At 37.0% G+C, this 15,177-nt stretch overlaps 1 long non-coding RNA gene across 1 annotated transcript in view; it reads right to left on the bottom strand.

Annotated features, from left to right (window-relative positions):
• The window catches only part of LOC101929380 (uncharacterized), a 127,874-nt gene that overhangs the window by 79,490 nt on the left and 33,207 nt on the right, over positions 1-15,177 (bottom strand). The window lies entirely within an intron of this gene.

Here is a 15,177-nt window from a genome sequence, read left to right as displayed (position 1 = left end):
TTCAGCCTCCCTAGTAGCTGGGATTACAGGCACGTGCCACCACTCCCAGCTAATTTTTGTATTTTTAGTAGAGGCTGGGTTTCACCATGGTGGCCAGGCAGGTCTTGAACTCCTGACCTCAAGTGATCCGCCCGCTTCAGCCTTCCAAAGTGCTGGGATTACAAGTATCAGCCACCGTGCCCAACCAAAAGAATATATATTTTTAAATCTCAGCAACATACAAAAATCTCAGCAGAGATGCTGTTCTATCATGTATGTTTTGGTAAGCAACAAAATTCAAAGCTTTTGTATTTCGTTCATCCAAGGTATTAACAAGAAATGATCTAAAAAGCCTAGTGACATAAATGGAAATTCTAGGAGAAAAGAGAAGATGTATCTTCAATTTTCAATTATAGAGTGAACATCTTTGTAAACCCCAACAATGAAAGAATACAAACAAAGCCTTGGCAATAAAATTGCTACAAGTTACAGCACAAAAGAGACAAGAAGTACATGTTTCTCTTTTCTATTAATTGCTTTTCAATTACTAGAAAAACAGTATTCTGTTGAACATCTGTCAGTACTATTCTGAGTAGTTCTCTAGAATATTTTTATGTTTAATTAAGGGTTTGTTTTCATATTGCCCTGAACACTATTCATGGGTCTAAAGACACACAGAATGGGGACTAGAACATATTAATCCATATGCGGGAAAATAGAATGTATTAGTTGAGCCTACTTGTGGGATAGGTTAATTTAAAAACTAAGTAGCTTTGGAACATACTATAAATAAAATAAATGAAAAATATAGTATTTCAGCAAAGACCTAGATTTACCATACTCAGAAAATGCAGTAAATGAGCACTAGATATGTATTTTAAAAATATAATCTAGGAATTATTCACTTTTCAAAGTGAGTCTTTATTTTAATAAAATATTTTAATGAATATGTTTCACTTACATATTCATTTATATATATTTACAATATTATTTGTTTTACAAATATTTTATTTATTGCTACCTTTAAAGGATGTTAACAGTTGCTCAATGTAAGACATTGTTGTGTTGAGCCAGGGAATAGACTTGTGAAAAGTTTTTGAATGACTGTGGAAATATTTTAATGCTACATGTGTCTATTTTTTTTAACCTTCAATGGGGGTGATAATGCCAACATTTTTTTGAAGCTTTAAAGCCTGTCAAAAGTCCATTTTTCTAAATATGCCATATGTAATAAATATGAGTTTCTTTTATGATAAAAAACTGCAGGTCAATTTTAAGAATGAAATAAGTCACACTACTAAGTAGTGACAATGGACATTATACTTCTCACTACCATTCTGCATCTTATTTTAAATTTCTTTTTGGTACTCTTTGCTACCCTTACACCTGCTTTTTTGGTCTCTACTATACCTTTATCTTTGCCCTCTATTTTTTGTTTCCTTCTCTTCTTTTATTTCTGGCTTCTATACCTTATGTTTACACCCAGTGACATTTCCAACATTGCCTGGTTTGCTGTTAGTATATATTATTATATTCAGGTTTTAGTAAATTAATATACGTATATATTAGAGTATAGCAATATGGCCAATGGAACTGCCAGGCTATCCAACTCTGTAGGTACATCAAAAGGCTTTCTAGGAGGGCTTTGTCTATGAAACATGCAGCCACATCCATATTTTAACTTGCTCATATTTATTTGACAAAGAGAGATTTGTCAGAGCTTGACTTTATTTCCAGAGATTCAATCTAAACACCAATTTCAAATTCTGAAAATTAAGCCCTTCCAATATTTCTTAGCCAGAGGGATGAATAATTACCAATAAATCTGATAAGGTGGATAAAGGAGTTCATGTGACTTCTAGTTATGGTTAACATGCTTGAAAGTATGGCACACATACACACACTAGCAAACAAAAACACTGTGAAGAAGTACTTAAACTTGAACAGAATTTCCAAATAATGGAAAAATGCAGTGCCCTAGAGTAAATGGGTCCTAAAATAGCACTAGTTTTTTCCCCCTCAAAATAAGCTATATCACTACTCAGCAGACAAAGCCATTGTTAATTTTTTTCTTGTCAGCTGTGTTACTATGTCATTTGAGTCAAAGAATGAAGCATATGTGAATGAAAAAGTATAAGGAATATCACCAAATTGGTGAGTGGGGGTAGTAAAAAAAAAATATGACTGTCATAGATTTGCAGATTCGGTTTCCAGATTCCAGCAGTGCCTGCCGCTTGTGATGCTACTACAAAAATAACATCATATTTTTATATTGAGGCCATTTTTTAAAAGACTTTGAAAATGTATAGGCTGGGTGCAGTGGCTCACGCCTGTAATCCCAGCACTTTGGGAGCCCAAGGTGGGTGGATCACAAGGTCAGGAGTTCAAGACCATCCCAGCCAAGATGGTGAAACCCCGTCTCTACTAAAAATACAAAAATTAGCTGGGCGTGGTGGCGGGTGCCTGTAATCCCAGCTGCTCTGGAGGCTGAGGCAGAGAATTGCTTGAACCCAGGAGGTGGAGCTTGCAGTGAGCCAAGATCACGCCACTGCACTCCAGCCTGAACAACAGAGCGAGACTCCGTCTCAAAAAAAAAAAAGAAAATGTAGCTAATGCCATCATCCCACAGGTACTACATGAGTCAAGTGTTTTAGTAGCTATTAAACCACTGTCAGATTTACCTGAATTACATAAAAAGTAGATGCCATATATTAATAAGTTATATCACTTATTTATAAATCAATAGAACCAAATATGGCAGTAAAACAATAAATTTAGTTTAGTGTCTTTGTTTGTTTTTTGAGACGGAGTCTCACTCTGTCACCAGGCTGGAGCACAGTGGCGTGATCTTGGCTCACTGCAACCTCCGCCTCCCAGGTTCAAGCGATTCTCCTGCCTCAGCCTCCTGAGTAGCTGGTAATACAGGCACACCCTACCACGCCCAGCTAATTTTTAAAAAATTTTTTTATTTTTAGTAGAGATGGGGGTTTCACCATGTTGGCCAGGATGGTCTCGATCTCTTGACTTCGTGATCCACCTGCCTCGGCCTCCCAAAGTGCTTGGATTACAGGCGGGAGCCACTGCGCTTTACCAAATTTAGTTTTTAAAAACCTGATCGAGAACATAGGGCAAATATTGTGTAGCTATACTTTCTTTTACTTAAATAAATCAATGTTTCTGATTCTTCTGTGGCTGTATTGATTGTCAATTACCTAAGATCCTAGAGCATCAGTTCCCTGCTCACTCTGATTTCTTTTCTACTCGGTTAAGTTTACAGTATCTTAACTAGGGTGCAAATGTCTAAAAAGACCGTGGATAACCTCACATTGTTCACACTATACCTGGAATTGCTGTTTTCTATTCATTATCTAAACCAGAACATTGGGGAGATATAGTATATACCTGTGGATTTACTTTTAGTTTGGGAAAGCAAACACACTCTTGTCTGTTAGCAAAGGAGCTGCATCCTCAATACTAGAACTTGCAAGTTATTCCCCTTTGGAGAGCCCAAGAGAAGGGAACTTAGTCCAATTACTTCTATTTACTCACAAGACAGTTGAAGTAATCCAAGTCACAAAACTTGTTAGAAACCTGAGTGAAACCAAAGCCCTGTGCTTCCATTTCCAGTTCAGTGTCTTGCCCCTTCTTCCACTGTAACATATTTACTTGAATATATGAGGTATTTACTATACTTGGTGTATAGATATGTATGCCATTTTAGGGGTTTTCAGACAAAATTAAATTCACACTCAATTTTTTTTTGCTATCATAAATGCAATAGCAGTTGAACTTATAGCTGAAGGAACACTTGACAATATTCTCTTATTCCTCTTTTTTATGTGTAGAGGGAAGGAAAAGATTCCATTAGATGATCTCTATTGTTTCTTCTAGTTTTAATATCCTCTGAATCCATGAATCATCCTAGTACACATTGGTATGCAGCAAACGGCAAGAGGTATGTCTTTGTAAATTTAAGTTGTTGATATAAATTCCTGTAGTGCACATTTACTACTGAAAGCATAGAATAAGAATAACCACCACAGCTTAAATGAGTATTTATTCTCCCTTTACTGTTGCCACACTGCATACTCTCCTGCCCCTACCATTTCTCCCCTTCATTCCCTATCAATCTGTGTAATGCGATCAGTCTGTAAATGCAAGGTAGTAGAATCAAAAGAGCACAGGCTTTGTTATAAGACAGACATAGGATTTGAATCCAGGCTGTGCAGCTTTGAACCACATGCTTAATCTTCCTGAGTCTCAGTTTCTTCCACTGTAATAGAGGTATACTAATATAGACCTGAGAAGATGGTTAGTAGGATTGGTGACCACGTAAGATGCCCAAACAATGTTGTGATGATAATAATAAACGATCACATTCTTATTATTATTACAAAACAAGTGTTTTTCAAAATTTGCAGTGGGGAGAGGTTAACAGTTTATGTGTTCCTCAAAATTAACTGGAGGTGGTCCCACTTCACTGCCCCCCGCCCCCCACAACACTCCATTTGTAAAAGTGTCACTTTTCTTTTTGTTTTTATAATACCCTAATCTGCCTAACTGCAGGGGACAAATTTAGTTTGCTGTTATTAAAAAAAAAATCATTTAGAATGCAGTTCTACTTTGGTAGACTTTAACATTACTGCCAGCAAGTCCCATTACAATCGTGTCTGCTTGAATATCTGAAACATCTTAAGATTTAAAAATTATTGTTCTGTGTTACAAATATAATAGCTTACATTGTAAATGAGTTCTCACCAGTTTTAGATGAAAGTATGATGGGACAAAATGTTGGATTTAGTTAATAATCTATAATTGTGGTTAGTTTATTTAAAATGAAGGCCTAATATTGAGATGTACCAAGTAGGAAGAAGAAAAGGGATTGAATAGAAAATAAATTATGAAAGAAAAGTAAATCTCAAACAATGACCAGTATGCATGGTAATCCTACATTAAAAGTAGGTAGAGTGAAGAGAAATAATATAAAAATGGTGAACTACCTGGGAGTAAAAATGTCTTCTAGAAAAATATATGTTAATTCATTTTTCATGGCTCCTGTTTTATAAGATTAAGGTGACTGCACTGACTACAATCTTTAAAAAATTATTTTACTAGCTATCAAAAGTAACTTAGGTTCATAGTAAAAATTTCAGAACGTATGAGAACTAAAGAGAAAAATAAAGATTGGTCCCAAGATAACTTTTGGTATCTTTCATCAGTTCTTTTTTCATGCATCATGCATATATGATATCATTTGTTTAATAAAATTTGGACATTAGTATATAAACAGTTTAAAACCTTATTATGGAAAATCTTTTTCAACTTATAAGAAAGTAGAAAAACTGTATAATGAAATCCCCATATGCCTAGCAACAATTATTAGTCTTTGGCCATCTTGTTTTATCTATACCTTCTTCTAATCCTCCAACCCTAAATTATTTCAAAGCAAATCTATATGATCTATTATTTTCATCCATAAATGTTTTAATATGTTCCTCTAAAAGATAACTCTTCTACAAAACAAACAAAAATATGAATATCAAACATTAACAAATTAACCATGATTCCTTCATATTATCAAATAGCCACAGTATGTTTTATTTTTTAAAATTTGGCTTCTGTTTGACAATATCATGGCCATCTTTCACTTGCAGTGTAAAAGTCTATTGACTACAACACTGAAGTAATTTGTATTGCCAAAAAAGTGAGTGCCAATTTTCCTACATTTTATCTCAGGTTGGATTTTAATCTTTCTTTTAATCATTGTCAATTTGACAGATTAAAAATAAAAACTTGTTTTCATGTTTGTTGTCCAGTTATATTTTTTGTTAATTGCTTTTTTATGCCTTTTACTTCTATTGAAGTGTTTATTTTTTCTTATTGATTTGTAAGCGTTCTTTACAAACCTGTGTATTTCCTCAAATTGTTCATACTCTGGCTAGTCTTGGTATAATTTTACATTATGTTTTCTATTCATTTACTAAGCCAGAACACTGGAGAGAAAGTTTATATTTGTGGATTTATTTGTATTTTGGGGAAACATTATTTTCCCAATTGCCTTCTAAGCCTAGTCATAATGCCCTCTTCTCTGTTACGAAGTGGAGATTAAGTTAAGCCTTTGTCATATACGTTTCAAATATTTTTCTCGTCATTTATTTGTCACCTTTGTTCACAACAGTTATTTTTCTCTATACCCAAATTTTCCTATCTTAAGATGAGCATAGGTTACAAATTTTCTTCTTATACTTTTATCATTTTATTTTTCATTTTAGAAACTTAATTCAGGCCAGGTGCAGTGGCTCACGCCTGTAATCCCAGCACTTTGGGAGGCCGAGGCAGGCGGATTACGAGGTCAGTAGATCGAGACCTTCCTGGCTAACACGGTGAAACCGCGTCTCTACTAAATACAGAAAATTAGCCAGGCGTGGTGGCGGGCGCCTGTAGTCCCAGCTACTTGGGAGGCTGAGGCAGGAGAATGGCGTGAACCTGGGAGGTGGAGCTGGCAGTGAGTCAAGATTGCACCACCGCACTCCAGCGTGGGTGACAGAGTGAGACTCCGTCTCAAAAAAAAAAAAAAAAGAAGAAACTTAATTCAATCTTAAATTATTGTAATATAAGGCATGGATTAGATTTTAATTTTACCTTCATCCCAAAATTGCTAGCTAAGTGTTCCACAGCATTTGAGTATACCATCCTTTTCCCAATGATTCAATGTGTCTTCCTTATCATCTAATTAAATATTTTATATACTGAATAATTTAAAAACACACATGCATATTTAAAAGTGTATATGTGTATATATAGTGCAAGTAGGGACCTAAGTACATGGGATAAGTCTTAAACGACAGTGGAAAGAAGGCAGTCCATATAAGTTTGATGGAGTACTTCACTGAGCACATATGCAATAAAAGGAAACCCTAAATATTTTTAGAGAACAAGCAATGAAAAATATTTTAAATGGAGGTGTAAAAAGATACCTGTGAGCTGTAAATTTTGCCCATTTCACAAATATGCTGAAGACTTATTCATCAGAGAGCAGACCTAGCTCTTCCGAGCTTACCTATGTGAACAATCCCTATACCTCTCATTTATTTAACATTTATTTGGTCCTTACTATGTGGCAGGCATTTTGCTGCATTCTGGTGATACAAAAAAGCATATGATTCAGTCCATGCCCTTAAGGAGTTCATATTTTCATTGATGGGACTTTTTATATTGTGTTGTAATTGTCTGTTTATGGGCCTGATTCTCTTCCTGGGCTATGACCTTCCTCAGGACAGTGTCCATGGTTTATTCATGTTCAAATCCCTACTGTTTAGAATAGTTATTGACACATCGTAGCTGCTGATCAATGAGTATTTGTTGAGTTCCCTGGGAGCAGAATCCCATTATTTCCAGGGTCTTTCACACTCAAAGCCTTCTGCCACAGGGAGATAAGAGCCATCTATGAAACATTCATTGCTGCAAATCAGTGACTTTTTCTGCTCTGCTCAGGCTCCTTCCAATGTTGCCATGTCAGATGACTTTTCTTTTCTTCTACAAATCCTCTTGCTATCCTTCTCTATCCTGCCTTTTTCCTCCCGGGGTTGACTTGTTTCCATTATATCAATAGTCTCTAGCCCCCCGGTCTTCTGGTTGGGTTTTGCCAGTGGAAAGCCCTAGTAGTAGATGGCAGGGAAGGAATAGAGAGAAGATATGATATTTACTTCCGTGTGAAGTTTTCTCAGGCTGGCTATGTTCACTCCACAGAAAGTCTTTAGTCCTTCCTCTTAAAGTAGCTTGCTGTGATACACTCTCCTCTTCTATCAACTTCCAAATCTTCCGAAGCCTATGGCGGTAGTGGTAGATGGCTAGCAGCTAATAGCTCTGGGTTCTTTTTAATTTCATTTTATTTTTCATAAGGGAATCAATCCTAATAGCTCTGGGTTCTTAATGATGTTTCATGGCTCCAATATATGCTCCATGCACTCCTTTTCACATAATTTCTTTGCAAATAAAGCCTCTTCAAATATATTGTGTGCCATTTATTCGCTTGCTATCAATATTTTATTATTATTATTATTAGTAGTAGTAGTAGTACTGTATTTTTCCTGAAGAGTATGTGTTTGGGGTTGGGAGGTAGGTAGTGGAGATAGGGGTGCAAGTGTGGTTGTACATATGCAAGAAAGCAGTTTTATGTTTGTAGGTATCTAATAGCTTGAAAAGTAGTTCCAGGCCAGGCACAGTGGCTCACATGTGTAATCCCAGCACTTTGGGAGGCAAAGGCAGGTGGATCGCTTGAGTCCAGAAGTTTGAGACCAGCCTGGGCAAGGGGAACAAGTCCTGTCTCTACAAAAAATACAAAAATTAGCTGGTTGTGGTGGCACGTGCCTGTAGTCCCAGGTACTTGGGAGGCTGAGGTAGGATGATCACCTGAGCTCAGGGAAGTGGAGGCAGCAGTGAGCCTCATTGTGCCACTGCACTCTAACCTGGGTGACAAAGTGAGACCCTGTCTCAAAAAAAAAAAAAAAAAAAAAAAAAAAAAAGGAGTTCCAAAGACTGAAGTGATAATTTGGCAGAAGGATCAGTGAAAATAGGAGAGGTCAAACTACTCGTATACCACTACGGGTGCTCAAAAGGTACATTGATCAGTTGGTAATTCACAGTGAAACGGTATTTTTTTTAAATTATTTTACCCCAATATTAACTATGCCTGTCCTATAGTTTTTGTTTCTTGATAATTTGCCAAGAAAAACTGTTTGCCATTATTATCTGAAAGTGATCATTTCCACACCAAGTAAAGAATTCTAGCTATACATATTAGCTGAGCTACAAAAATCCTTTATAGACTCCAAGGGAATAAAAGAAATCACACCTTGTTGCTTTTGGTTATTTGACTCATTATTCTGGTGGATCATTCACCAAGTGTTTGGTACTGTGTTTAGCTTTACATTATATCTATATATATAGATACAGTGTAGATATTCTACAATTGTACTTACTTCATTTATTTTTCTATTCAGTAAGCTTTTATGAGAACCAATTGAGTAATGGACTTCATGCTATTTAGGGGCTGAAGAATCAGAAATAAATATGATACATGTGTTTTACTAGAGGTACTTAAATGAAGATTAATGGGCCCTACAAATGAACTTTCTTTTCAAAAGTTCCTTTTCCTTTTTGTTACAGAGACATAAGAAGAACTGCTTTACCTTAATTGGGAGTTTTTCAAAGGGGCTATTACAGGAGTACCAAGGGCATCACAGAGATGGATCCAAAGCTGTACACAGTTATTGCAGTTTTGGGCGATGATGAATTAGCCTTCTCTATATTCTGAGACTTCTATTTTAGTATGAATATTTGTATAATGTTATCACATTGCAAAGCTCAACTCTAGTGTAGCAAGTTCAGACATGATAAACTTCAAACTTCATGATAAACTTTAATTTTTGTTTTGATGAAAGGAAAATATACATTATATAAAGGTTCATAAAAGGCTGTGTGTGTGTGGAGCCAAGAAAGACATGAGTCTTTTTTGGTGCACAAGCTATTAAAAGAAGAGCAGTAGGTGCTTGATCTCACTTACCCTAATATCCCTGATATTGAAATAATTTTTCTATACGTTGAATGATTTTATTCCTTTGAAGCAATAGTACTGTTTCATTATATCCCACTGAATAAACTTTAGTAGGTAGGTATCATGTGCTGGGGAAGTAAGGAACTCTTGCTTTTAAGTCACTATTTAATTTATGACTTTGCTATTACTCCTGTCTCCTTGCATTTCCTCATGGTGCTCCATTTCATTAATAATAGAAAGGTCTCTAGTCTGAACACACTTCATTTTTATGCATTGAAGTTCTTTCGGCTGGTATCCGCTGATATTCCTCACAAGCTATTTCTATTTATGAGGATACTATTGTACTTTGAAAAGATACACATTTGGCTGGGCATGGTGGCTCACGCCTGTAATCTCAGCACTTTGGGAGGCTGAGGCGGGCAAATCATGAGGTCAGGAGTTCGAGACCAGCCTTACCAACATGGTGAAACCCTATCTCTACTAAAAATACAAAACTTAGCCGGGCGTGGTGGCACACACCTATAATCCCAGCTACTCAGGAAGCTGAGACAGGAGAATCACTTGAGCCCTGGAGGCAGAGGCTGCAGTGAGCCGAGATTGCCACTGCACTCCAGCCTGGGCGACAGAGCGAGACTCTGTCTCAAAAAAAAAAAAAAGAAAGAAAAAAGAAAAGATATACATTTAAGAAGCACTAAAGAAACATTTTAATACATCCTATATTAGGAGAAATATTTAATTTTTTGTGCCATTTTTGTAGATCAAATAATAGATTTTAAATAAAATTAATTTATTTTTAGTAGTGCACACAGGTTGCTTATTTTTCCCTCTAGATAGAAGGGTGTTGGCATTCTTGAGGAGTTAGGTCCCCCACATCCTGTTGTTTACCATTCTGACCAGGCCCTGCAAGTGCCCAGGGCTAATCGGGCATGGCTTCATTATGTTCTATAAATATATATACATTAACAAGAGGAAGCCCTGGACTATGCTTGTGAATGAAAGCAAGAAAGTAATACTGATTCTCAAGAGAAAATGTATATTAAGAACTTAAGAACTTAAAATTCCAAATTAACCGTTGTTACTCCATTTTCTGAGAAGGAAAAATGTCTCCATATGCCCTTCCACATATGATAGTCCTATTTTTGACATGTTGAGAGCTGGGATCACTTAAGAATGATTTAAAAGCACATTTAAAAGATTCAATGACTTTTCGGCCGGGCGCGGTGGCTCACGCCTGTAATCCCAGCACTTTGGGAGGCTGAGGCAGGCAGATCACGAGGTCAGGAGATCGAGACCATCCTGGCCAACATGGTGAAACCCTATCTTTACTAAAAAAATACAAAAAATTAGCCGGGCGTGGTGGCGGGCGCCTGTAGTCCCAGCCACTCGGGGTGCTGAGGCAGGAGAATGGTGTGAACCCGGGAGGTGGAGGTTGCAGTGAGCCGAGATCGCGCCACTGCACTCCAGCCTGGCGACAGAGCTAGACTCCATCTCAAAAAAAAAAAAAAAAAAAAAAAAAAAAACAAAAAAAAAAACAAAAAAACGTCTTTTTGTAAGGTTTGTATTATCTTTTCTATGAAAAACAAGGATGTGTATCTTAGAAAACTAGTGTAATTATTTTCTTATTTTATATATCACCAAATTGTTCTGTTATATAGGATACTAAAGATGGCTCTGAATATAAAATGTGCATATCAGGGTACTACAAAAGAGTGTAATGTACTGAGTGCCCAATGAATGTCTTTATTCTTAAAGATTTCATAGAAGTAAATATTCTTTTCTTATCATACATTATACTGAAACTAATCCTTACTTTCATTTAAGAACTCTTAGCAAAGCAAAAGGACCATACGCATGGAAAAATCTGTCAAGTCTTCTATTTCATAAATGTTAGAAATGAATAAATAAAACGTCAGGAGTTTTGTTTAAAAAAAGCTTTAAAAAAATTTTTTTTAGAGTCTTGCTCTGTTACCCAAGCAGGATTGGGTAACCCAACCTCCACCTCCTGGGTTCAAGCGATTCTCCTGCCTCACCCTCTGGAGTAGTTAGGATTAGAGGGGTGCTACCACACCTAATTTTTTTTTTTTTAATTTTGTATTTTTAGTAGAGACAGGGTTTCACCACGTTGGCCAGGCTGGTCTTCCACTCCTGACTTCAAGGGATCCACCCACATTGGCCTCACAAAGTGCTGGGATTACAAGTGTGAGTCATTGCACCTGGCCACATTTTCAAGTTTAAATATTTTAAATGATATTAAAGAATATCATTTAAAACCTAACTTCATTGAAAGGCACCAGACATACATTCTTTTTCTGAACAGGGAGACAAAGGTTTTTTTTTTTTTTCCCCCTCAATCTAATTCTTCAATTTACTTGGCAAGGGAAGTGACTTTAAGCTGCTATAAATAATTAACCAAAAGACAATGCCCTGCATTTTTTGAAAGTATACATTTTCCCCCCAAATTTAATGTTTTAATTTTAGGAGAGTAGTCTTTAAAGAGAGAAGCCAAATGCATCATTAAAAAGCCAAAAATATAATTTCCTCTGTCTCATTAATATGCTCTTGGCATCAAGAAAAGCATTTTTTTAAGGTAACTTCTTACTAATGGTCCCCACAAAACCTCCCATCATCTACCTCCCTTCCATATGTCCAGGTAAGTGGTAATTTGCCATACAAGTTAGTTATTGTTTACAAAGATAAAATTTTTTTAAGTGAAAAACATATTTATCTGTGAGAATCATATTTTGGATTGTGATTTTAAAATTTTCTTGTGAGGTTTCTTTCATTTTACATCTTAAAGAAAAAGTATTTTATAAATCTGAAAAATATTTTGCAATAATTTCTGTAATCCAAGTGTTCCAGATTTTACCAGCTAGTAACTATAAATTAAGATCATGTTTTCTTTTAATTCCAAAATTATCATAGCTTGAGCCCATACCAGCCTAATCACTGGAAATTAGACTTCTTAACTTTTGAGGATTTTCCCGGGTACTGCCTCCCATATGCTCAGGAGCAGGTGGCCTCCTCATCACACTGCTGTCTCTGCCATTGGCCGGCCTCCTGAGACCACTAAACATATGGTCTCAACTCCCTTTTCCTCCAAGAATGACCACCACCACTACTGCCTTTCTGATCTCAGGCAAGAGTGACACTTGCTCTTCTCCACCTGAAAAAAGTAGACCTCCTCCCTTACTCCCCATAGCACAATTGAGACCAGGATAAAATGTTAACTAAACTATTAAAGGTTCAGGCATCATGAAGGAAAGTGCGACAAAGAGAGTAACTTACAATTGCTATAAAAATGGCTACTGTTAAAATACACAGAACCTCAGATTTCTTATTGGTCCAGCTTGAGGCTGGCTGACATTTCCTTACCAGGAAAGTCCCAGCATGTGTCTGACTCAGAGTCCAGCAGAAACCCCTAGTCCAAAGTGAAGATTCCCATTCACCCCAACCTAAGGCCTGGGTCCTCATTTTCTGCCTCAATATTGGAGCTCACTCAGAATGATTGACCATGAAAATTTACACTCTCTTCAGGGAAAACTTCCCACCTAGCTAAGTTGTGCTCTCTTTAGGAGCCATCAAAAAACACCACAACACCATAGCCCAACAGGGTTTTTCTGCCTTAAGCAACGCTTTACTGCAATACAGGATTTTTCTGCTTTGAGCAAGGTTTCACTGGAATGCAGCTGACCAGGTGATTGTGTACTGCTTAGCCAGTCCAGCTTCTTGGTGGTAGCGTGATGTGATGGCATGATTGGGCCTGTAAGACATTTGTACCGTTCTTTCCATCTTTGCTTTACATCTCAAGAATTCATAGAGTTAGACAACAACTCTGCAAATATTCAGTAATTGATGTTTACAGTATGACCGAAACCCATTTTGTACCATTCTTTCCATCTTTGCTTTACAGCTCAAGAATTCATAGAGTTAGACAACAACTCTGCAAATATTTAGTAATTGATGTTTACAGTATGACCGAAACCCATTTTGTGAAAAGAAACATTTTCTAAACACAATCTGTGGAAACTCTTCTGATAAATTCCCTAATTTATATTACAAAACCTTACCTTTTCATTTTGTGAGCATTTGCATAGCAGTTATTTCATTGAGTTCAGGTTTTTCTTTCAAATAATTGGTTGGTATTATTCTATTTTTTTTCTAGGAACAAAGTAACAGGCTTCCTCAAGGATTCCACCCAACAAAGTAGAACTTTCTCAAAACTTTGAATGGTCTTGTAAGCACTGTCAAGGGCAGAGACAGCAGTGTGAAGAGATGGGTATTGAGTTTTAAAGATCTCAAGTTTTGGAATCCAGAGTACCCTATAGGAAACTAAAATTCAGTGGCTACCTTAGAACAACATCTTTTCATTCTCATGAGTCTCATTTGGGTGAGGCTTGACTCTAGAGTTGAGTCCCTGAGCTACAGGCTGCATTTTGGATTCAGGCCTGTAGCATGTGTCTCATTCTGGGGCCTAGGCTCGAGGGCAGTGGCTTACTGAGGCATGTTCTCCCCAAGGTAAAAGTGCTCCCAGAGCTCAAAGTGCTAGCCCAATGGCACAAGCACATTTCAAGCTTATGCCTGAGTCATGTCCACTAGCATCTGTGGTCAAAGGAAGACATGGCAGAGCCCAGTGCGAAGGGGCGGGGAAGTTCACTTAGTCCTCCTCTCTGCAAGGCTGTGGCAAGAGTGTGGATATATAATTCTATTACAGAGGAGCAGGTGATTATATCCAACAATTCAATCTTCTTTTCTGGACCACTGCAGAACTTGCTAGTTCTCTATTCTCTCTTGCATCTAGTCTTGTACCATAATCCCCATTATTTATAACTGATATTGTCACTCCCTTGCTTAAATCTATACTTCTGTTATGGGAAAAATTTAAGCATTTTAGGGAGACCACTGAGTTCACACTGGTTAGTTTTAAAGCATTTAAAATTTCTAGGCTGGGCACAGTGGATCACACTTGTAAGTTAGCACTTTGGGAGGCCACGACAGGCAGATCAGTTGAGGTCAGGAGTTTGAGACCAGCCTGGCCAAAATGTTGAAATCCTATCTCTATGAAAAATACAAAAATTAGCTGGGTGTGGGGGTGTGTGCCTGTAATCTCAGCTACTCGGGAGGCTGAGGCAGGAGAATCACTTGAACCTGGGAGGCAGAGGTTGCAGTGAGCCGAGATGGAACCACTGCACTCCAGCCTGGGCAACAGAGTGAGACCCTGTCTCAAAAAAAAAATCTATTATTTTTGCATGCATTCTTTCTCTCCCTTCATCCTTTAAAGCTGTGCTTCCATCTACTTGTTACTTCTCTGAACACTTAAATATTTTTAAGGCTCATAATTTTGTCCATGCTATTTCTTCTTACAGGAATTTATTTCATTTATCCAACGAAAATGTATTATATGCCTACAATGTACCAGGCACTCAGCAAGACTACAGATAAAACATTGGAGAACGAATGAATTTTTCTTTTCCTTCAGAGAGATTTCTTTCCTCTTTCCCCAAAGAGAGTTAATTTTTTTTCATTTTAATGTCTCTTACCACTTTGCATCAGTGTGGCTAAATAACATTTTGAAATACAAAATAATGGTTTTTTCTTTCTGTATTTTCCCTTTTTTCTTCCTCCCCCAAAACAAGCAAGGGGAG

This window comes from Homo sapiens, chromosome 5 (genome assembly GCF_000001405.40).
Source record: "Homo sapiens chromosome 5, GRCh38.p14 Primary Assembly".
NCBI classification, from domain to species: Eukaryota; Metazoa; Chordata; class Mammalia; order Primates; family Hominidae; genus Homo; species Homo sapiens.
This window is presented reverse-complemented; position numbering and strand designations above follow the sequence as displayed.